Raw genomic sequence first — 24,123 nt, 5'->3', positions numbered from 1 at the left:
TTGGGAGTATAACCAAGAAATCTTACCCGGGACCCTGGGACTGCTCACAGGAGTGGACCTTCTTACTACATCCTAGGAAAAAGAGACAGGGGAATGGCCTCTATACTGTGGTATATAGTCTCTGTACTCCGTTTTTTTAATTTTTATTTTTTATTTTTTGAGACAGGGTCTTGCTCTGTCACCCAGCTGGAGGGCAGTGGTGCAATCATGGCTCACTGCAGCCTCAACTTCCTGGGCTCAGGTAATCCTCCCACCTCAGCCTCCTGAGCAACAGGAACAGGCACACCACCATGCTTGGCTAATTTTCTGTATTTTTTTGGGTAGAGACAGGGTTTCAACATGTTGCCTACGATGGTCTTGAACCCCTGAGCTCACACAATCTGCCATCCTTTTCCTCCCAAAGTGCTGGGATTACAAGCGTGAACCACGGCACCCAGCCAATACTTGGTTTTCAAGAAGGCTTTGTTTGGCAGGGAGAGGATAGATATAGCAGGTATCTGAGGAAGAATTCTTAGTGTCATGGGCCGTCCACCACAGAAGCGCCGGAGGCCTCTTAGAAATGGCTAAACCAACGGAATCAGAATCTCCAGGATTGCAGTCTGAGAGCCAGCATTTGTAGGAAGCACCCTACCTGATTCTGATATATAGTAAAGTTGGAACACGCCTGCTCTGAGCTGTACTCCTAGAATGCCATACTTAAAATTTTCAGACGTACTCTGGCTATAAAGGCATGCTGTGAGTAGATTATGGACAGATTTAATTCCCTCTCAAGATTTTTTTCACAAAAATACAGATGTCAGCTTGTGCAAGGAATATAGATAAAATGTTTTCTAAACAGAGCTCACTATATTAAACATTTAAAAAAATTTGATAAAGTATCCAAGAGAATAGAAAAGTTAGCCCATTCTAGATAATACTGTAAACCAAAGTTTGAACAGAGCCTAACTCTACCGCTAGGCTACAAAATGGCTTTGAAATTAAATTAAAATATCCTACAATTGTTTATACAAAACTGAACTTAGTGAACTATCCTTTGTCTTTTGAAATTAAATGAATCTTCCTTATTTATTATGTTGAATTAGGATACATTAGTCTTTCTAAAGACTTTTCAATTAAGCTGGATTTATTTACATATTTTCTTGAAGACATAAAACCTTTCCACTGTTGATATAATCCAATCATCTACCAGAATGTAGAGGATAATCCTCTCAACAGCTCCGTGATTTTCTACACTTTTCCATCCCTAAATTCTCCCGTCCTGCCAGAGGCCCTGACTCTTGATGAATATTTATATTCATGCAGGGCTTAGAAAACCAGTAACATTTTAAAATCCAGCACACTAGAGTGAAGTTACTGAACCAGACCCACAGCTGGCATCAATGGTCAACACACCCTTTCTGGTTTCATCAGGTTGCTCCTGGCCACATAACAAAGACAAGAAAACTTACAGTTGATTTTTGTATAGTACTCTACAGTTTGCAAGATATTTTCACTAACACTTTTAAATGAATTTCTGGTTTGGTCCTGTTATTACTTAACCCTGGGGGACCCAGATAAGAGAAGTGAGGCTCAGAAGTCAAGTGACTTATCTAAGGGTGCATAAACAGTGGCAGAGCTGAGGCCCATTACTTCTTACTATAGCACACAGCTGCTCTATAAGAAAAGTGAAATTAGGATAATGTTCATTGTTTATAAATTGCCTACCAAATGCCATGAAGCTGCTTGCCAGCTGCAGAATCCCACTTCTTAGAGCCTGCCTGCTCCCCCAGATAAAGCAACTCCTCGAACTAAAAAGAAGGAGCACAGGCCAGCCACAGTGGCTCATGCCTATAATCCCAGCACTTTGGGAGGCTGAGGTGGGCAGATCACCTGAAGTCAGGAGTTTGAGACCAGCCTGGCCAACATGGAGAGACCCCATCTCTACTAAAAATACAAAAAAATTACCCAGGTGTTGTGGTGTATGCTTATGGTCCCAGCTACTCAAGAGGCTGGGCTGGGAGGATTGCTCAAGCCTGGGAGGTTGAGGCTGCAGTGAACTCAGATCACGCCACTCCACTCCAGCCTGAGTGACAGATGAGACCCTGTCTCAAATCAAATCAAATAAAAATAAAACAAATCAAATGAAGGAGCACAGGTCAAACACATCAGGGAACAGAAACTAAAGAAAAGCTATATATCTGCCTTCACCTTCCCCCTTCATCCCTGCCTGAAAGAGTGCTATTGATCCTGTAAAGCTCAATGTAAATGCCGCCCCTTCCAAAAAGCTTTTCCAAATCCAATGGCCAGAATAAATCTCTCCTAACCTGCTTTTCTGTCTTGTGAAAGAGTTAAATTCCTCTCTTATCTATTTAGAATCCTTGACAAGTAAGGTACAGGTACATGCCTTTTCATCTCTGTATTGTTCAAAGTGCTTAACACGTGCCCTCCAGCTAGCATGGGGTGCACTAAACCCTATGCTCTAATCTGCCTCCATGGAACCCTTCACTCTCTTTTACAGCAATTCATGAAGGTGTATCAGGAAATCAACTCAATTTCTTCTATTTAGAGCTTAATAAATGAATTTATCTGTACTCCATGAATAAACACATAACCCTAAATATGGATACAAACTATCTTTTGTTTTATTTATTTTTAAAAGACAATGTCTCACTCTGTCATCCAGGTTGGAGTGCAGTAGCCAGATCATAACTTACTGCAACCTTGAACTCCTGGGCTCAAGAGATCCTCCACCTTAGCCTCCTGAGTAGCTAGGATTACAGGCGCACACCACCATGCCAGGCTCTCTTTGTAGAGATGAGTTATCACTATGTTGGCCAGGCTGGTCTCAAACTCCCGGCCTCAAGTGATCCTCCTGTCTCAGCCTCCCAAAGCACTGGGATTACAGGCGTGAACCACTGCGCCCAGCCACCTTTTGCTTTAAAGGGGAGGAAGCTGTGTAAAAGAAATGCATTTTCATTTTTTTAATCTATTGCTTTTCTTCCCTGCCCTTTGCCAAAACATACAGAATAACCAGCTACTTTTGTTTGGAGAAGTGACCATATTTAGTTAACTCAATCCTTACAGCAAATGTTCTGGAATCTTCCATGCAAAGATCCCAAACCCATCTGTTTGAATATTTTAGGAGCAGTAACCTCTTGGCCTCAGCTTGGGCATCTCTCAAATATGCATCTTGGCACAACCTCTCAACATTCTTGTCACAATTTTTCCTCAATAACTGTATCCAAATGTTGTTAGGCATTTCATAGCCATGTTAATGTCAGGAGGCTAGATCCAGTTAAAGGTAAACAAAGAGTAAGATGGAATTTGCTAGGCTTTCATGTAAACGATCTCATTTTAAATATCAAGACACTCTGAAGCTCTGAAATTCTAGGAAAAAAAAACCCAGAGTTCTATAGAAGCAGTATTGCTCACCACCAGCACAGCATTTATATTCTCTGTGAAGTGGTTGTTACCCCTTTCTAACCTTTCCTCTCCGCATGCCCAGGCATCCCCGTTTTATTTAGATCAGGATGCCTTGCAGAAGTTGTAACCTGGATATCATATTATTTGGCCCATCCAGGATTGTACTTTAGGATTAGTGGTCCATGTTAGAAAATTGGGAAATTTAGCTTCAACATGTGTGTGTCTGATTTTCTTTGAACAATCAGATCTGACCAAATGGGCCCACGTTCTCATATGACAACAATGGATTTGAGCTAAATTATGGCTGCCTCCTTTAGAAGACTACCCTTTCCAGCTTACCACATCCCTCCTGGCCATCTACACATTTCTGTTCATTTCCTGGGTTCTGTAGGCATTTGCGTAGGTAATCACTGCCTTACAGAAATAAATGTGATTATATTTCAGTGGAACAACTCCTACTGGGTAGTCAGGAATTAAAAATCTGGCCCAGCAGTGTACCCGTATGTTGGAAACTGAGGGGCATGTGTGGGGTCTTGGATTTGTGAAATAATTTAAACACAACTTATATGAGGTTCTAACGAGGGGTTTGCAAGGTGAAGTGGTGGGAAGGTTAAGAGTGATCATGATTTGTTTTCATAACACTTGTTCATAGACTTCAGGAAGCTACATTTGAGTACCAAAATCTCCTTATTTCTATAGAATGTGTCAACTAAGTCACAGAGCGGTGGTAAATTTGACAAATTTACAATGATCCCAGGAGAAAACTGAACTTGGATTCTCCATACCAGTTTGGAGCTCTACACAGTCAAGAGCCTTATGGCAGAAAAACTTTCCCCCATTCATTCCCTCACTCTTTCTCCAACAAATTTTTATTTTTTATTTTTTTTTTACTTCTTATTTAATTATTTATTTGAGACAGGGTCTCACTCTGTTGCCCAGGCTGGAGTGCAATGTCACTCTGACCTCCTAAGCTCAAGTGATCCTTTCACCTCAGCCTCCTAAGTAGCTGGGACCACATGTGCATGCCACTATGCTTGGTTAATCTTTGCATTTTCTGATAGAGACAGGGTCTCGCTATGTTGCCCAGGCTGGTCTCAAACTCTTGGCCTCAAGCAATCCTCCTGTCTTGGCCTCCCAAAGTGCTGGATTACTGGATGAGCCACCAGGCCCAGCCTCATTCAATACACTTTTATTTTATTAAGCAACTGTTATGTGCCAGGCAAAGTGCCTACTCTCAGGAAGCACAGATTCTAGGACACCTAATATATAAACAAACAAACAAACATATATAAATACGTCAAGCAGCAATATAGGCTAAAAGAAAAATGAAATGTGTGTATGGGAGGGGGAACTATGTTATTTTATCTAGGGTACTTGATGTACTTGGGGAAGGCCTTTCCGAAAAGGCGACATTTGAGCAGAGGCATGAAGGAATCAAGGGGGACCTGTCTTGAGTTGGTGAAGTCTCCCACAGTCCCTCCCAAATATCACCTTCCAAATATCAGGAAGTCCTCATTGACCGTCCATTCAGAAATGCTCTATCCTGTCTCTAACTGCTGTTGGAAACTGCTTATCATACTTTTGTTTCCGTACTCCCTGAAAGTAAATCCTAGTGATTGGTTACAATTTATTGTTTATTCCTTGCAATAAATGACCAATTAATCTTTAATATGTATCTGCTGGATTAAAAGCATTCTCAGGTTGTTTCTGGGGGAGCAGAAAGACGGGGGGGGTGGGAAGACAATGAATACTGATTTTTATAAAACAACCGAAATAAGAGGCTACAAATAAATAACATTAGATTTAATTATATTTCAAATACTCTTACATATGAAATAAATATTCCAATGCAGTCCTTTTGAAAAAGTTTATTTTTGCCGGGTGCAGTGGCTCACACCTGTAATCCCAGCACTTTGGGAGGCTGAGGTGGGCGGATCACCTGAGGTGACAGAGAGCAGTTCGAGACCAGCCTGGCCAGCATGGTGAAAGCCCATCTCTACTAAAAATACAAAAATTAGCCAGCTGTGGTGGCACATGCCTGTAATCCTAGCTACTCAGGAGGCTAAGGTGGGAGAATCTCTTGAAGCCGGGACGGGGAGGTTGCAGTGAGCCGAGATTGCACCACTGCACTCCAGTCTGGGCAACAGAGCAAGATTTCATCTCAAAAAAAAAAACAAAAAAGAAAATTTAAGTTTATATATATTTTTTCATTTTAATTTCAGTGTTCTTTGGGTGGAAAGTGTTTATTCTAAATGCGACATTTCATCACTAAAGATAGGCATCCAAAAAGTCATCTGATAACATTTGGAACTGGCAAAAACTACTGAATAACCCACACTTTGAAAAATAATAATTGTTTTTAGTACAAATGTTGGTTCAAGATTTTTAAAAAGTCATATTCTTTAGGTTTAAGTCATAAGAAAAAGGCAGAAACTCTACCTTTCTTTGCTAGTTTGCTACGAAAGAAAAAAAGCTGAAGATTAACTAAGGATATAATCCTTACTTTAAGATCCTAAATTGAACATTTTGCCTCTATTGAAATCGGCAAACTTAAAATTATATTTAAAATTTAATAGAGCCTCCCAAAAGTTACAAAGACAAATTGTTTTATTAAAATAATTATATAATCCTTTGATGTTGATGACATATACTTGCTATATTAAACTCATTTTCCACTTGAAGAAAATAACTAAAAAGATCATTATAGTCGTTCCCTGGTAAGAACTGAAAAACGTTTTCCAAAATATACGAACTTGCTGTCTTGAAGATTAATTACTTCTCTAATGGTTAATATCTGGGTAAAATAAACTTTGGCAAGTAACATAACACAACCAATCAATGTTATAAGTAGTTGCAAAATAAAATAAATTTCTTCTCTAAAATACTTGAGCAGCCCCCACCTTTCGTAGCTGTGTCTTTTCACCTACTCACTCGTTACTCTAAAAGAAAGTCCACCACTCCACATCTCACCATTTCTATCATGGGTCCTATTTTAGGAGATAGAAGAAGCCGTGGAGACCACAGGAAGAAAAACAGAGGCCTAGAGGTTAACGTAGGGATCACAACATGACCCCCATTAATTCCCAATCACTTGCTCCCCTGTGGAAAGGTGCTTTCTGTTGGGATTATGAAAAGCAGCAAATAGCAATTCCTCCATTTGAAGCAAAGCTTACAAACTTTTGGCAGGCAACATGTTTTGGCTGGGCCCTCATAGTGTTTTTTTCTTTTTCTAATTAAGATAAAATTCATATCACATAAAATTCACCACTGTAAGCATTTTAAAAATCTACAATTCAGTGGTTTTTACTATATTCACAATGTTGTGCAACTATTACCACTATCTAACTCCAGGACATGTCCATCACCCCCAAAATTGGCCCCCAAAAGGTTCTAAGTTTTATTTCTGTAATTAGTATTTAAAAAAACTTGTAGAAGTTGGGAACTTTCAATAAAAATTCACATTTCTGGCTTCTCAGAAAAAAATCTGACCTTCTGGCAATACTGAGGGAGGAGAGTGGGAAACACAGGGTCCTCTCCAATTAGCCCCCCGGCCATTCCAGCACTTGGGTAATTTCCTGGCTCCCGTAGGCATATGCCCTAGCTACCCCGCATTGAAATGATCAGGGGCTCAAACCATTCTGAATCACTTTGCAGACAGCCTTGAGTATAAGATGCAAAGAGCTACAGCCCTCTGTTCCCTGCGCTGGCAACCAAGCTGAGCTAGAAGGCGTCCAACTCTGACTCTTCAACAGGACCCCCTGGGCTTCTGCCAACTTCTTACTCACCTTTCTCTCAAAATGTTACCTTCTCCATCCCAGGATCTTTGCTGGAATCTCTCTTCCCCTGAAAAGTCATGCTGTATCTATGTGAGGAACATCCTAACCCACTTGCCTTGTTTTCTATTTACTATCGGTACAGGTTGAGCATCTCAAATTTAAAAATCCAAACTCCAAAATATGCCAAAATTGGAAAGTTTTTGAGAGCTGATATGGCACTCACTAAAACAAAATGCTCATTGGAGCATTTCAGATTTCAAATTTTTGGATATAGGATGCTCAACCAGTAAGTATAATGCAAATATTCCAAAAATCTGAAAAAAAAAATCCAAAATCTAAAACACTTCAGTCCCAAGCATTTTGGATAAGCGATACGCTACCTGTATTTTACTTTAACTTATGGTTACTTAATGTATTTGTATTAAAAAAATTAATTCACATAAAAGGAAACCCTATATACTATGTGAATGGAAACTGATACTCCCCTAAATATATCATTAAAAATCATTAAAAAATGTTTAAAACCATAAGAAATAATTCAATGAGGAAAAAAAACACCAATACTATTAGTTTCTAGCCAGATATTGTTGCCTGCCAAAGGCTATGAATCCCCATCTACCTACATGGCACAAAAAGAGGTAAGCTTCTGTGAGCTGGCAGAGATCACATAGCCCAAAACGCAGGCATTCTCTGTGAATGATGTCAAGGACTCCAAGGACACTGAAAAGGAACTAATTTTTTTGTGATATGACTGAAGATGATTTAATACTATACCTGGGACCTCCTAAAATCAGTCACTGTACTACCAGTGGCATACGTACCATATTTGGGAAACAACCACACGTCCAGTCTTCCAAAGCTTCATGCCAATCCCTTCCGTCTCAACAGTTCTGCCTCAAAGATCTCAGCCACAGACAGCCCTTCTGAAACCTCTCTAACCCCCATGTAATATGTACTTTCTTGTATGCATGTTAACTCCTCTAGACTGAAAACTACTCAACAGCAGCAACAGGTCTTCCACATTGCATACTCCTCCTCTGGTGAAGGTACCAGTATTAACTTATCCCTAGTCACTTTCCCGTTGTATGCCTGTCTTGACGTCCCGGTGAGGAAAGTTTTGAAGTGACTTTTTAGAATTCCAAACAAGCTTCTAAATGAAATGAATGAAAAATGTCTTAGTACATGAAGTGCCTAACATAGGGAAAATATCTGCATCTCTTCACTCTCTCTTACATTTTGGGGTAAGAGTAATTTTACTATTGGGAAGTCATTCTTGGTGTACTAACAAGAGCTATCCCACATACGGCAGTTTTTATCTTATAGGAAAGTCAGTGTGGCCAGCAGGCTGTCGAAAAGGGGTTGGGTATGGTTATTAAGCTTTGTGTCTGGGGTGGATGAAGGGACTGAGTGTCTTCTGTAATGACTTCAGGTGTAATACATACCCAAGAAGAATCCAGTCATACTACCAAGGTCAGCATGGTAGAGATATAGGACAAAGATCATAAAAAATAAATGCAGTGTTAACTAACATAACTTTATTATTTATTTATTTTATTTTTGAGATGGAGTCTCAATCTTTCACCCAGGCTGGAGTGAAGTGGCGCCATCTTGGCTCACTGAAACCTCTGCCTCCCAGGTTCAAGCGATTCCCCTGCCTCAGCCTCCCGAGTAGCTGGGATTACAGGTGTGCGCCACCATGCCTGGCTAATTTGTGTATATTTTAGGAGAGATGGGGTTTCACCATGTTGACCAGTCTGGTCTCGAACTCCTGACCTCAGGTGATCCTCCTGCCTCGGCTTCCCAAAGTGCTGGGATTACAGGCATGAGCCATAGTGCCCAGCCACTAACATAATTTTTTAAAAAAATGTTAAGATACAATTTATGATGGTCAACTTGTATTTTTATGGTATGTGGGCTACTTTTTCTAAAAGACTGGAGCCTTTATAAAATCTGCACACATAGCGGTGGCCATTTAACAAAGCTAGGAATTTATTTTACTTAGTCAAATGATTAGCAAGGTTTACGGTCATATCTTTGTTCTTGGAAAATATTATATTATTGATCATATCTAGCTGTTATTTTATAAGTTCTTATAAATAATAAACTCTAAAACATCATTTCTATGAAGAAAGACAACCTATTTTATTGAACTTTTCTTCTTGATGTGATTTCTAGTATTCTTTTTTTTTTTTTTTTTGAGACAGGGTCTCACTCTGTTGCTAAGCTGGAGTGAAGTGGCACGATCTCTGCTCACCACAACCTCCACCTTCCAGGCTTAGGTGATCCACCTCAGCCTTCTGAGTAGCTAGTACTACAGGTGTGCCACCACAGTTGGCTAATTTAAAAATAATTTTTTTTGTGGAGATGGGTTTTTTTTTTTTTTGAGATGGAGTCTTGCTCTGTCGCCCAGGCTGGAGTGCCATGGCGCGATCTCGGCTCACTGCAAGCTCCGCCTCCCGGGTTCACGCCATTCTCCTGCCTCAGCCTCTTGAGTAGCTGGGACTGTAGGTGCCCGCCACCACGCCCGGCTAATTTTTTGTATTTTTAGCAGAGACGGGGTTTCACTGTGTTATCCAGGATGGTCTAGATCTCCTGACTTTGTGATCTGCCCGCTTCGGCCTCCCAAAGTGATGGGATTACAGGTGTGAGCCACCACGCCCGGCCGAGATGGGGTTTTGCCATGTTGCCCCGGCTGGTCTCGAACTCTTGGACCACCTCTGTCCACCTTGGCCTCCCAAAGTGCCAGGATTACAGGCATGAGCCACCACGCCTCGCTGATTTCTAGTATTCTCACTGCTACAAAAGGCAGAAAGTATCTTAGGAAAATAATACTGAATTTATCTCTCCGATGTTAGACAATGTATATTATAAAAAGTACATGCTTAGAGAAAAAAATGAATTCAAGTCTTTTGAATGTGTAATTTGATTCATTTTCCAAATCTGAAAATTAAATCTACCCTAACTGGAGAGTTTCCCCTTGAACTAGTATCCTGTTAATTGTTTAATTTATGCCATCCAGTCTAGCAGTTATGCTTGGAAAAGAACGGTGAGGGCAGTTAATGGACATGCCAAAAAGGAAGGTCTTTTTCTATCACATTTTCAGCATTCATCTTTAATGTTTTTTTTTGGTTTTGGAATGAAGGAAACAGACGCTACTGTTGGACAAGAAATGCAGTGTCATACAGTACTTTTAAGCTGTCAGCTGTACAGTTAGTCTTTATATAGGCAACGAACAAGTGCTTCTCTGTACCTTTATTTCCTTGAAACATACAAATACCAGACTCCACGCACAGTCCAATGCAGGGTATATTCTATAGCAAATACTCAAAATGAATGCTGTCTTATCTTCCTTGTTAATGTATCAAAATAAAATATTTTTTCACTACATCTACAGAATAAAATAAAACCATGTATGCTACCCCATCAAAATTTAGAAACCATGTTTAAACAAATGTTTTGACACTAGCTAACATGAAAAGGGGATTTAATTCTTGAATGTCTAGCATCTATGAAGTAATTTTCTTCCATTAAGTTTACATTATCACAAAATAGAGCAATCTTAGATACAGGCAAAAAAGCAAGCTACAGAATCCTTGAGTTGAGATTCCAGGTTCCCAAAGGAAAAGATTCCAGGTTCCAAATGTAGGCCTTAATAATCTCCCAGCTCTCTAAAGTTTTAATGGCATCTAATAAAGTATCAACGGGTTAGGCACTGGGTCATATTTTCTTGAGCTGACTTACTGCTCACTGCATTCTGATGGAGGGTAAAGAATGTGAAATATTTTTATATATTTTTAAATCATTAGGGATAGCAGAGAAGATGCTTGGAACTCTGGCTGCAGACTGATGTTGGGTCATAGTAACCACTATTCCTTTGTCTCTGGGCCCAAGCCCAGGAGGGGCCAGTGTTTTGCACCCTTCTGCTCTTAGAGGCAAGATTTTCTTTCCAGGCTTAATTCAGACCATTTTGACTAATAGCTTGCCTTTATTACCCATTATTTTATAGAACTTCCAGGCAGGAAGATAAAGGGTCTTTAATTTACTGTCAAAGTCTGATAAAGTCTATTTATCTTTTAACTTCTCTGTGTAAACTCAACATGGGAAAAGCTGGGATTTTAGTTGTTAAATGCATGAATTAGGGTTTGAAAGCCTCCTTTACTCAACTTAAAGAGTTTTATGTGTGGATTCATGCATTGTTTCTCTGTTGCTCAATCAAGTAATATCTTTCTCTTCTCCAATCTTTCTGCTGAAATTTGATTTTTATTTTAAATTAGAGTTAACTAGTAATAAGCTTCTGGACTGATTTGTGTTCCAGTGGCTAGAACCCAGGAAGAACTCCAAAGATGTTAAATTCCAACAAATTAAAACAGAGAGCTGCTTCTGTGGCAAAATAAACAAAAATCCATTTAAAAAACAATAAAAAAAAGAAAAGCAGGCATTTCAAACACAAGGGTTACCTAAAACATTCCCTTTTCCATTGCTGCCACAAGATGTGACAGAAGTTTTCAGACAATAAAGTGTGATTGGACCAAATTTGAAAGACAATTCATTTCAGTTTCCACCACTTTTCAAAAGAGTAAGAAGTGACCCCATTAGAGCCCTCCATCGGCCTAGACAAACCTGGTTAAGTCCCTCCCATGGGTCTGTCTGTTCTGACTTTAGGCGTGAGAACAGTGATCCAAAACACAGACTAGGAGATGGAATATCACTCACACTGGCTCGAAGGGAGCCAGCAAGAAAAAGGTCCTACCAAGCCTTCCTAAAGGTCACCCCATATGCACAATACATTATCAATGTCTGGTGTGGTTTTGACAGACTGTGGTACCATGGATGATACAACTACCTATTGAGTAAAACACAGTCCTATGCCTAAAAACCAAACAATGAGGCCAGAGGCACAAAAAATATCAATGTATGGATGATTTATGAATCTCATGAAAAACTGCCTAAGTTTTAATTCTGCAAAATATTTTACACTCTGAATCATATGCCTGTCCTCACACCTCACTGGTTATCAGGCATTTTCTGTTTGCCTACAATGTGCCCATCATCATAAAAACTAGAAGACGCTTACCAGCCACTTTCAGGTCCAAGAGTCTTGAGCACTACAAAGCTAAAGAAATTACAGTTTCAGACCAGGGATTCATTTAACTCAATGAAAGTTTGGGCCAGGTGCGGTGGCTCATGCCTGTAATCCCAGCACTTTGGGAGGCCCAGGCAGGCGGATCACTTGAGGTCATGAGTTCGAGACCAGCCTGGCCAACATGGTGAAATCCCATCTCTAATAAAAATACAAAAATTAGCTGGGCATGGTCATGGGTGCCCATAATCCCACCTACTTGGGAGGCTGAGGGAGGAGAATCACTTGAACCTGGGAGGCAGAGGTTGCAGTGAACCAAGATTGCACCACTGTACTCCAGCCTGGGTAACACAGCAAGATTCCCTCTCAAAAAAAAAAAAAAAAGAAAAGAAAAGAAAAGAAAGTTTGGCTTATGTTAACAGTTCCCTTTTTTTCCCTAAAAGCATCCTATTTGAACAGGTATAGGGTATTTAGGGTAGAGGATTCCAGTATTTTCAAAAGGCCGGAGTTTTATCAAGCTCAATGTACAGCATAGCAGGGGCTACTCAGGCCTGCTCCCATCATGAAAGAAGAGTCAAGGAGCTCCAGAGCACAAGCACCTCAGGGTCACAGCCATGTCCTGCCCCAGAACAAGAACTTAACCTCATTCTTTATAAACATGGTTTATTGCTAAGTTTGGCAAATGAAATTTAGTTGGGTCCCGAAAAATGTCCCAAAGAATCATTATTGACTTTACCTTACCCCAAACTAAAAACACTTGCAAGCATTTTGTATTTCAAATCATCTTTCCCTGGCACAGTTTCTTATTTGAAAAACAAATAGACGCTCAGAGATTGACACTTGCATGGAGTTAAGTCTTCAGAAAAAGAAAGTTTTTTGTTGTTGTAGACACTCTCATCTAATAAATGCTGTGACTAATTTAGTATTTCCAGGAAATGTGGTGTCAAGGCTTCTTAAACCCCAACACAAACACACACACGCACACACACACACACACACACACACACACGCTGCTTAGAATAGGTAAGTGAAAGAAAGAAGAGAAAGTGTGGGTTTTTTTTTTTAACAGACAGGAGGGAAAATTATATTATTTCGGGAGATAGCAAAAAAAGTATGAACTTACTTTTTAAGTCATAAAGCAATAACTGTAGGCAACAAGATGCCAAAAAACCTGTTAGTATCTGTCAAAATAGTATGATTCTTCCCAAGTTGCTAAGTGACTACCTGACAAATGAAATTAAGAACTACAAGACTGATGGGAAGCAACTTTTGGGGAAAAAAATGCTATTTCAAGTGGACCACAGATTCAAGAAGAGAAGTCATGTAGTGTACCTGGCACACACTTGCTACTTTTAATTTAAGCTGCTTTACAGGCAGGGAAACATTATTTCACCATTACCTACCTCAGTGGGGAGATGACTTAAAAGGAACTAAACATGAAAGAGATAACAAGGAGAGAATACTGACTCTAGCTGATTCTCATGACTATTCAAATATCCTCTTATTTCATTTTTAAAAACTGAACAAAACACCAGCATCATGAAATAAATTTCAATCTATATAATAGAATATGTCAGGTAAAGTGATGGCCTGAAAAAAAATGAGAAAGCAAAGGGATAGGCTTTGAACTTTAACACTCATCAGACATGTTGAAATGAGTGACAAAGACCTATTCTGTCCAGAAATCCCCGCTTTATTTTTAAGCCTGGAAACTGGTTTGTCATATCTATACTGAATACTTCCTGTCCAAGGGCATGCTAATGGCAACAAACTGCCAAGTTTAGTAGCTGCCTACATGTAGTCAATTGAGTCATTCATGGAATAAAAAACAACATCAAACATTTTTTTAAAAATCTGGCTAACTGAAGCTTTAAAAGATATACAATTAAAACATGTTTAACTAGTTCACAAGATAGGGATAGATGGTGCCATTTAAAAAAATAGAAAGGAAACAACAGACAATATTACTCTGAGACACTTTTGCTGGTAGGTTCTATACTATTCTAGTACCACTACCAAATATAACAGTTCTCTCCCTCCCATCCTCTACGACAAAATAGTCCAGTTGACATTCCACGTTTCATTTAGAAAATTGCCTAAGACCATAGAATGACTCAAATAACTAAACAACAGCAACAAAAAAATCAAATTATTCCTTTCTTTGCTTAATTTGGCCGAATTGCATTTTTAAAGGAAGGGTTATCTGAGAATTTAAAGAACTAGAAATGCAGAGGACTAAAACAAATCAGGAATGTAAACTTTATTAATGGGTCAATGGACCATGATGTTACATTAAGAACTCATCTTTGGGAAAGAGGAAAACAATTAAGGATTGCAAGAATGACCCTTTCCCCAGCAACCCTGAGGGCTGGGTGGGCTCAGCTAGGCTGCCTCTCCTAGCAGCAATTATAATTTACCCGATTAACCCTTACACATGTTGAAACTAGCCAGCTTGTTTCACTGCTGAGACCTACAATCAACATCTCCTCTCCCTCATGTCCCTCCCCATTTGCACAGAGAGGCAACCCCAAAGTATGCTGGAATAGGTAGGTGGCAAGGACAGGAATGTCAAGTAATCACCCCTATACTTCTAGGGTCATCAGCCTAATCACCAAGTCAGAGCTATGGCCAAGTAAGCCAAATAATTTAAACCAGTTCTACCCCTAAAAATCCTCTGCCTGAAATCCTTCAGGAGGCCTGCTTACCATCAGACTTGTTAATGAGGGAAACCCCCCGAAGTTAGGTACAGCTTCACTGGTTGGAAGTGATGGCTTTAACCCTCCAACAAACCACTCACCACTGGCCCTCCAGAAATGGGCATCACGATGTCACAGGCAGCTTTGAAATGATGCCCACAGGCAGACACCACTGCTTTTCTACTTCATCATTTGCCATTTTCAAGCTTTTTTGAGGAAATCATTTTTATAACCCAGTAAGAAAGTTGCTAGAAATCCAAGCCAACATAACACTGCCCTGGCTTCCGACTGGCCCCAATTTAGCAGTTGGAAGAGGGGCAGCATTCCTCAATGTCACATCCTTGTTTATGGGCCTCTGCATTAATCCTGCCTCAGAAGCACTAGAGAGCTTCTGTGTCCTCCAAATGCCACATTTCATTGGCTCCAAGTCTGCACAGTGCTTTGGACACCAGCACCCCACTTTCTCTCCTGTTAACTGCAAAATCAAACAAAATAAGCAAGCTGCCAAAACTTCTTAACCCAGTTACAATGGTCTCTTGCCTATTATACTGCTGGTCACTTCTTAAGTTTTGCACATATTACTTTTTTTTTTTTTCATTTTAGAGTTATTTCCTTACTCCTCCCTTCCTCTCTCTCTCCACTCCTACTTCTTCCCTCGGAGGCTCTCATCAGGCCTGGATCCCACCCACCCTGTTGCTCTCACACCCTCCTACTCCCCATCGCTCCCAACTGCTATGTCTCCCTCATTGTTCCTGCAGAACTGTGAAATCTGCCAAACTGCCACTCCCTTAACTTTCTTTGCTATTTTGATTTCCCAATAATTATTTCCTTTCCCTTACAGTGGGTGCTACTTGCCCCTGAATTCTGTCTACCTCTTGGAAAACTCTCTTGAGAGATTTCCTCTTTAATTCTCTTTTCTTCTGAAGATGTTGAGTCGAATGTTTAGACTTGTGATATTGAGGAGGCATGCATTTTCATTCTAGATATTTCATAACTGATGCAATTCTCATATTAATCCTTGAAAGGTGAAAATGGTTTTGTAAGTGCTTAATAATAAGAACACTCAGTGCACTAATATTTTGCTATCAAACAACTTTACAGGAGGAAAAAGTTTATTGGAGCAAGCCAACTCTTACCTGCTTTTTAGAGAATATGAAATGAGGACTTCTTAACTGAATGAAGAGGCAGGCCTGGGCAGGGTTCTGTCTTTTGGTGTGATTATAAGCCTCCTTATTTATACAGTACCTCCTGAGTGAAGCTGTCTGAGCACTGAGCTTTACACTAACATTATCTCATTGGTTCTCACAAGGAATAAGCCATCTAGCATATTTCCACTGGTGTAACAACTGCTTACCATCTCAGAGGGAATCTAAAATTTCTCAAAATGGCTCAGCTTACTAGTGTGGCCCAAATCCTAGTTAATATGTATAAGACTAAAGTCCTAAGAGTTCCAAATTATATGCCAAATCTAGGGTACCCCTGGCAGAAACATCAGTGGTATTCTAAGACATGCACTCCTGTCACAGGAAGAAAAAAATACGAGGAGAGAGGAAGTGAAGGCCAAAGGGAGCAAATAAAAATTCTCTGATTTTGGCTGGGTGCGGTGGCTCACACCTGTAATCCCAGCACTTTGGGAGGCCAAGGCAGGAGGATCACCTGAGGTCAGGAGTTTGAGACCAGCCTGGCCAACATGGTGAAACTTCATCTTTACTAAAAATACAAAAATTAGCTGGGCGTGGTGGTGAACGCCTGTAATCCCAGCTACTCGGGAGGCTGAGGCAGGGGAATCAGTTGAACCTGGGAGGCAGACATTGCAGTGAGCCAAGATGGCGCCACTGCACTCCAGCATGGGCGACAGAGCAAGACTCCATCTCAAAAAAAAAAAAAAAAAAAAAAAAAAAACTGAAAAGAAAAAAGGGGAAAAAACCCTTCATTACCTTAAAAAAATTATCTAATTTTGAGTGGCCAAAGCTTTCCCCCAGTATGAAGAGCTGTGTGATACTGTTATATAGTAAGAAATATACATTTGGTCTTCATCCCTAGCTCCTGGCTAGAGCTCTCAAAACTCTTGGAATTTCCTAAATGATAAGAGTGATAACTGGGCGCGGTGGCTCATCCCTGTGATTCTAGCACTTTGGTAGGCCAAGGTGGGAGGACTGCTTGAGCTCATGAGTTCATGACCAGCCTAGGCAACAAAGTGAGACCTTGTCTCTACAAAACAATTTAAAAATTAGCTGGGCAGGTGGTATGCACCTGTAGTCCCAGCTACTTGGCAGGGTAAGGTAGGAAGATTGCTTGAGCCCAGCTATGACCCCGCCACTGCACTCCAGCCTGGGTGACGGAGTGAGACTATCTCTAAAACAACAGAGTGATAGGTGCATCTTTTGTTGTAATATTTGGTCTTGGTCCCTAGTTCCTGGCACAGAGTTTCTAAAATTTTGGAATTTCCTGAGTGATAGTTGTGAGAGGGGTGCCTTTTGTTACTCATAATAAGCCTCTTTCAAACTTACCTGTTTATGTTAATGAGGTGACTCATAAACCAGAATGGGGAATGGTTAGCAGACGAACCAATCAGGTGATTAGAGGTTTAAAACTTTCAGTTCCCCCACTCTGGGCAGGGGAGACGGGCTGGAGACTGAGTTTAATCACCAATGGCCAATGACTTCATCCCACCTGGAGGTGCTGGGAGGGTGGCCTGCCTGGACAAGGCATGGAAGCTTGCATCCCTCTACTGTATTTTGTCCTACACATCTCTTCCAGTTGGCACTTCCTGAGTTGCATCCTTTAGAATAAATCAGTAAATGTTTCCCTGAGTTTCATGAGCTGTTCTAGGAAATTACTGAACCTGAGGGGCTGTCATGCAAATCCCCAATTTATACCCAGTTGGTCAAAAGTATGGGATGCCTGGCCTTGCAATTGCTGTCTCAAGTTGGAGGACAGTCTTGTGGGACTGAGCCCTTAACCTGTGGGGTCTGCCCTAACTCTGGACAATTAGTGTCAGAAATGAGTTAAATTATAGGACGTCTAGTCAACGTCCGCTGAAATTTGGAAAACTGGTTGGTGTAAGAAAGACCCTCTCACATTCGGTGTCAGCAATGTTGTGAATGTATAGGAAACCAGTTACTTTTCTTTTTAAGATGAATTAAATTTCCTGCCCATATTCACTTGTTACCCTCATGTACCACTGCATATTTTGTGTGATGCCACAGGAAGAGGCCTGTAGGCAAATGCTCTTCCAAATGCTGGTTGGAGGTGATGGTGTGACAATCTGGAAAGGAATCTACTGGCAACTAGGACTTGGAAAGCATGCAGAAATGGAGACGGCCAGCTTCTCAGGAGGCTGGGGCACTTGCTCTTGGCAGGGCAGTCACCTCCTGGGCCCCACATGCCTTCTTTCATGCCCTTGATCACCTGCTAAATACTAACTGAATACTGATGATATATTCCCATCCCTTAGAAGATGAGCTCCTCAAACCCAGGCTCCTGGTTTTAGCTGAGGCCCAAAAGGAAGACGAAGCAATCTTCAGCAGCTCTTCTCTACAGACAGGCTGACCACAGCCTCCACGGGGCTCTCGCCTTTCTGGCTTCCAAGGCCCCATGCTCTCCTTGTTTCTTCCTACCTCTTGAGCTACTCCATTTCTATTTCCTTTATTGGTTCCATCTACCTCTCTCCTTTGTAAAAGTGGATATTCTCAGAAGCTAAATCCATGGCCCAGTCCCCTCCTTTCCCTACAGTCTTGCTCTCAGAGACTACATATGGGGAATCAACTCTCCCTTTGTGACTGGCTACTCTCACACTTTCTTGGCGAGGCTCCTTATACTCAGGTTCAATCTTGCCCTCCAGACCAACTCATGGTTCTTGCCAGCTTGGCATTACTAAAACACTACTTTGCATCTGCCCTCCTCCATCCAGCTGAAAACCATCCTATTTCTTTTTTCTTTTTTTTTTTTTGAGACAGAATCTTGCTCTGACACCCAGGCTGGAATGCAATGGCACGACCATAGCTCACTGCAGCCTTGAACTCCTGGGCTCGAATGATCTTCCTGATTTTCCCAAGTAGCTGGGACTACAGGTGCATTCCACTGTGCCTAATTTTTAAATTTTTTTTGTAGAGATGGGGGGTCTCACTTTGTTGCCCAGGCCGGTCTTGAACTCCTGGGGTCAACTGACCCACCTCCTTCAACCTCTCAAAGTGCTGTAATTACAGGTGTGAGCCATTGTGCCTAGCCTTAATTTTTCCAATGGGGAAACTGAACTTCAGAAAGATTAAGTAGCTATTGAAGGTTGCACAGACAACCAGGAACAAAGTCATGAGTAGGATCAGTCTCCTGACTCACAGGGTCTTATCTCTGTTACCTACATACAATGTCCCCCTGGGAAAGTCCAGCTTCTAGACTGGCCCCATGTACCACTACAACATCACCACGAATGCCCACCATGATCACTGCTCTCCACACTTCTGTAGACATTCTTCCTGATCCCAGCACACAGCATAAGTAGGTTCCCTGTCACTCACTCTTTCTTTTTCTCTTCTCCATTTGCTTAAAGGAACTAGCTGGAATACAAGTTACCCCTCTTTGAAGTCACTTCTGTCCATCATGACTTTTGGTGAATACCCCCTCTTCTAGACTTTCATAGGGTCCACTGTCTGATCCTCTGAGCTGTACTCATCCCTCTCCATCATGTATTTTTGTACTATGGATGCACATGTGCTGTGTGTGATGCCCTGAACCAAAAACTCTCTGAAGATGGGGTTATCTACACACACATTTTTGCTTCTCCAGGCCCTGCAGAGGAGGTGCTATCTCAGTTAACATTTGTTGTTAGGAGTATCTGAGGCTCAAAGAAGGCAGCAGCAGGCAAGGGAGAGGGGCTGCACCCTGGAAGCAGGAGTCTACTGGACAGTCCATGACAGGCAGAACAGCCTGTGCCTCTGGGGACACCCCTGGTCCCCAGCTTCTCAGCCTGGCTGCGTAGGCCACATGAAAACACATATTGAAGCCAGGTGAGCTGGCACCAAGCATAAATGGCAGGTCAAACTGGAAGGAAAATTCATGAGCTGCTTATTCACTTCTTGACAGTCAACCCTGACTTCAACAAATGTGGTCTGGAGGCTTCAGGCACCTAAAGCTATCAGAGCCACGTAGGGAATTCTGCTTATAGTCTCTTTGCTTCATCACCTTCTTAGAAGAAACTCTGTTCCTAGTTACTTATAAAATTAACTATTATTCACTACAAAGCTGGAGAATGTATTATCATTAAGTCCACATAAACACAACTCCTCCCCTCCCCCATCTTCAAAACCATATAAATACCAGCTTAACTAACAGGCTTTACTCAATCTTACAGATTCCCAGGGCAGCACTCCCTTAGGCAATTTATTCCCAACTCAGCAGTTAGTCACTCAGGACATACTACATCCCTGTACCTCTTCTTCAAGGCTTATAAACTTTTAGAATAAAATTTAAGCAATTGCTCTTTCAGATATCTTGGTCAGCGGCTGGGGGGGCAGTGCGCTGCAGCCCCGCAAATGCTTCCTGAGAAAGGTGTCCTGACTCCCAGAGTGCACCGGGCCTGCTGCAATGTGCTCCAGAGAAAGAGAGGCTGTGGGATGTCTGCTTTTGCAATAGCACATTCTGTGTCAGAATGCTGACTCCCTTCCCACCCACACACATACATACCTTCTCCCCAAGGAAGAGTGTCTGTACCCAACCAACACCCTCAATAGCTAATTTTTCCTGAATGATATTCTCAAAGGAATGAAAACAAGTGAGCTCACTGTTTACCTGCCTCTCACTTGGTCTACAACTTTCAAAATCCGGGATCTAATAGGATCTACTTGCAGAGCTAAATTTTATTTCACAATGTCTCATGTTTTATTCTCTTGAGTTACACGTAGAAGGTGAAACAGGAAATCTTCATTTGTTTAAACATTCATCTGCGTTTTATAAATCCCCCCAAGAGGTAGTGAATGACAACTATACAAACAGACTAGGTCTGTCCTACTTCAAGGAGAGTGCATACAAATACCCAGGATGCTAAAACCTGTGTTTGCAAAAATCCTTGCTTGCAGAACATGTATTAAAGAGGATAGAAAGGGCTTGGCAATCACCTTGCTGGGCCTCAGTGCCTCACCTCTAAAATGAAGAGGTCAGAAAGAAGGATTGGCAAAGTCGCTTTTAGCTCTAAATCATGGTGATTCTATGTGTATTTGGTGGGAGAAGGGCACTTTAAATTACAGAAGACTTCTTACTACAGACCTTCCTTAAACATTAAAGATATACATATCATTTGGTTTTGTTTTAATTCAGCTTACACTATGTTTTAAAGAACAATCTTCTCTAAATGAAGACAGGTCTATAACCACACTAATCTCACTGACTTACAAGTTGCTAGCATAAAGACAGAAATGCTGACAAATAAATGATTTATAGGTAAATCCAGCAATTCTGCAGTGTTCTGAAATGCAATCGCTGGGTCCTGAGTTTTTCTGGCTCTACTGCATTCTCTTTCACCCACCCACTTTTTGGCTACTTCCTGGATCACCAACAGTCAGGAGCAGGAAATTTAATCATCCATATAATCCTGACTGTTCAATGGCGTAAGGTGGGGGCAAGAAAGGTAGGATGCATATTCAATATGATAAAAATTTCAGAAGTGAGGGGAAAAAAGCTCCAAATGCATTTAAGTTTACAGAGCTGGAGGTGTCTGGCAATGCCAAGTTATCAAGTGATGTCCACTGTAGAGGAGAGAGTATGATAGATCTCTAAATGGATTTTCCACTTTTAGTCCTTGTCAGCACACAACACTCCAAGCCTAATGACTACATAAAAGGAAACAGATAAGCACGTCAAAGTCCGGTGTTTAAGAGCATATGCTGTACCTTTTACATTATGTATGACATCAAGGTCAGCTATACCCCTTGGTTTCATCAGAGCTGAACCACTGCTTTAACCTCCTTTTCTCTTCATTCCCTCTGCAAAGCAAAGGCTGGGGAAGGGCAGGAATAGGGGAGAAAACTTACAAAATAGTCCTTAGTGATGAATGATATTATATAAGCTGCCACACCATGTGAGGTTAAAACAGAGTACTACACAGTGTGGTAGCTTATAAAATATCATTGGGATTCTTATTACAGAAGAGGATATTAATCACCACTACGGAACAACTAAACTTTTTTTTTTTTGCCAAGGATTAACTTTAAAGAATGGAGACCATTCACTCAATCTACAACATTTAATGAGCACCTTTTACTCTGTAGGTCCTAGACATACAGCGGGGAATAAAACAGACATTGTTTTTCCCTGCAGAGCTTGTGGTCTAGAAGAGATGTTAAGCAGTGTGGGGAGAGCCAGCAAGGAAAGGAACAGGTGCTCTGAGAGAGGGCGACAGGGGATCTGAGTTTAGGTTCAGAAAAAGCCTCTTTAAAGAGCTGACCAAGAAAAGGAGGTCAGGTGGAGAGAAGGATATTTTGGGCAGGAAGACCAGCAAGTGCCAATGTCCTAGAATGGGGAGCTTGAGTTCTTCTATATGCAGAAAAGAAGGAGCCAGGAAGGATATGGGCTGACTGGTGTAGGAGGAGCCCAAGGTGGAAGGCGGGGCATTCTGCAGTAGGAATGACACCTGTTCCACAGACACAGGGAGGATAGATGTGGACGGAGATGAGTCTGTCAGTCTGGGAACAGGACGTTGAGGGAGTTATCTAATGGCTACTGTTTTCTTTGTGAAATAGCAGGCCTGGTGAGGCATGAGAGTAAGAACTGGGTGAGGTGGTGGTGGGAAATGGCTACTATGGGCAATGGAGGAGCGAGCCAGACTCACTCACCACTCAATCCTCACTCTTTTCCAAGTCCCCACAAAGTGACACCTCGCCCACCCCTTAACAATGGCTTTCTCAATTTCTGGTATCAATGCTTCAACATCCAGAGCAAAGGAGCCCTGGATGCCTTGATGCTTAGCACTAGAAAGATTCTCAGAGATCTCAACTGCCACTCACTTTAACTACTTCATAATTAAGCAATTTACTCAGGAAACAACTAAATGCCAAATACACGGCTATCAGCCTATCTCCTCAGGAAGCCCCATCCACTGGAAACTGTTGATATCCTCTTTTTAATGGTAGTCACCTTTTTAAAAAAGTGAGTTTCTTCTTTCATTTCCCCTTCTTTCCTATTTATTCTATGTCTGAATAATTTAAACTCATTCAGTTTTTAATAAAGCAAGGCCTGGATTATTTTTCTCTGTTTAATACCCAAGCACAATCACTTATTCATTGTTAAGCAGGAAAAATTAAATCAATTATTTAGGAGATGGCTATAGGCTGGGGACAAATATCCAGCACCCCTGGCACAGAGTCAAGTATGTTTTAAGCTCTGATGGCTTAACAATATCCCCAGTCATTTGCTTCTACATTCACGCATATGCAAAAATATGCTGGCCTCCAAGGACTTAGATTCAACCCCAAAGTATACTAGTCTCTCACTACAGTTGAGAAAAATGACTTAAAAGTATCTCCTCTTACAGCGTATCAGGCATGAAGCATCCAAAGGCAGTTTTCTTGCAATACAGACATTCTTAAGAACTCATGGTGATCTCACACTAAATGGGATACATAAGTTCACCAGGATGAAAAAAAAAAAAAAAGCTACGTATAAGAGGAAAAGGACTAGTAACGATAGAGAAGATAACTGAGTTATTTACACAACATAGCTCGCTTCATCGACATCTGAGTGGTGGTAGCTAACCAGAAGGTTCTAGATTACAGCCAATGAACCAGCCTTGGAGAAAACACACCCAAAACACACAGACACCTATCCTTCATTTCCTGGCAGAAGCTATATGATTCTATCTGATTAATAAAGTGTTCAATCTCCCTCAAGAGTTATTCAGTATCCCACCCTAATTGCTATCAATTTAAAATTCTACTACCTCAGATTATTTTAAAAGAAACATTCTGGGCTTTCTTTAAAAAGCAGAGCGCCATATCATTTGTGGCCGATCTGCAGAATGTAAATGATGACAAGTGGAGGGAAGGTGAGGAACAAGCAGAAGGGGCCCCATTAACCTCTTCATAGGCCAGTTTGCAGGCTGCTTCCAAACTTAAAACCAGAGAGCTGGGCCCTCGAGGAGGGAAGACTGTGGATGTTGCTATGGGAATGTATAATACAC

At 41.2% G+C, this 24,123-nt stretch overlaps 1 protein-coding gene across 8 annotated transcripts in view, besides 2 other annotated features; it reads right to left on the bottom strand.

The window, feature by feature from the left end:
* TNFAIP8 (TNF alpha induced protein 8) overlaps window positions 1-24,123 on the bottom strand; it is a 130,930-nt gene that overhangs the window by 17,991 nt on the left and 88,816 nt on the right. Inside the window, exon 1 of one of the 8 annotated variants that reach the window (XM_047417082.1) lies at window positions 8,000-8,018. The exons of the other annotated variants lie outside the window; for them this stretch is intronic. The gene's annotated coding sequence lies outside the window, so the exon portion shown is untranslated. Of the gene's footprint in view, window positions 1-7,999; window positions 8,019-24,123 lie in introns of those variants that run through there. 8 annotated transcript variants of the gene reach the window in all.
* Window positions 13,938-14,037: an enhancer, noted in NCBI's record as "active region_22980". NCBI's record gives its function as "activates an Ori minimal core promoter by ATAC-STARR-seq in GM12878 lymphoblastoid cells {active_cell/tissue: GM12878}" and the evidence as "EXISTENCE:reporter gene assay evidence [ECO:0000049][PMID:35858748]".
* Window positions 15,149-15,208: an enhancer, noted in NCBI's record as "active region_22979". NCBI's record gives its function as "activates an Ori minimal core promoter by ATAC-STARR-seq in GM12878 lymphoblastoid cells {active_cell/tissue: GM12878}" and the evidence as "EXISTENCE:reporter gene assay evidence [ECO:0000049][PMID:35858748]".

This window comes from Homo sapiens, chromosome 5 (genome assembly GCF_000001405.40).
Source record: "Homo sapiens chromosome 5, GRCh38.p14 Primary Assembly".
In the NCBI taxonomy this organism is placed as follows: Eukaryota; Metazoa; Chordata; class Mammalia; order Primates; family Hominidae; genus Homo; species Homo sapiens.
This window is presented reverse-complemented; position numbering and strand designations above follow the sequence as displayed.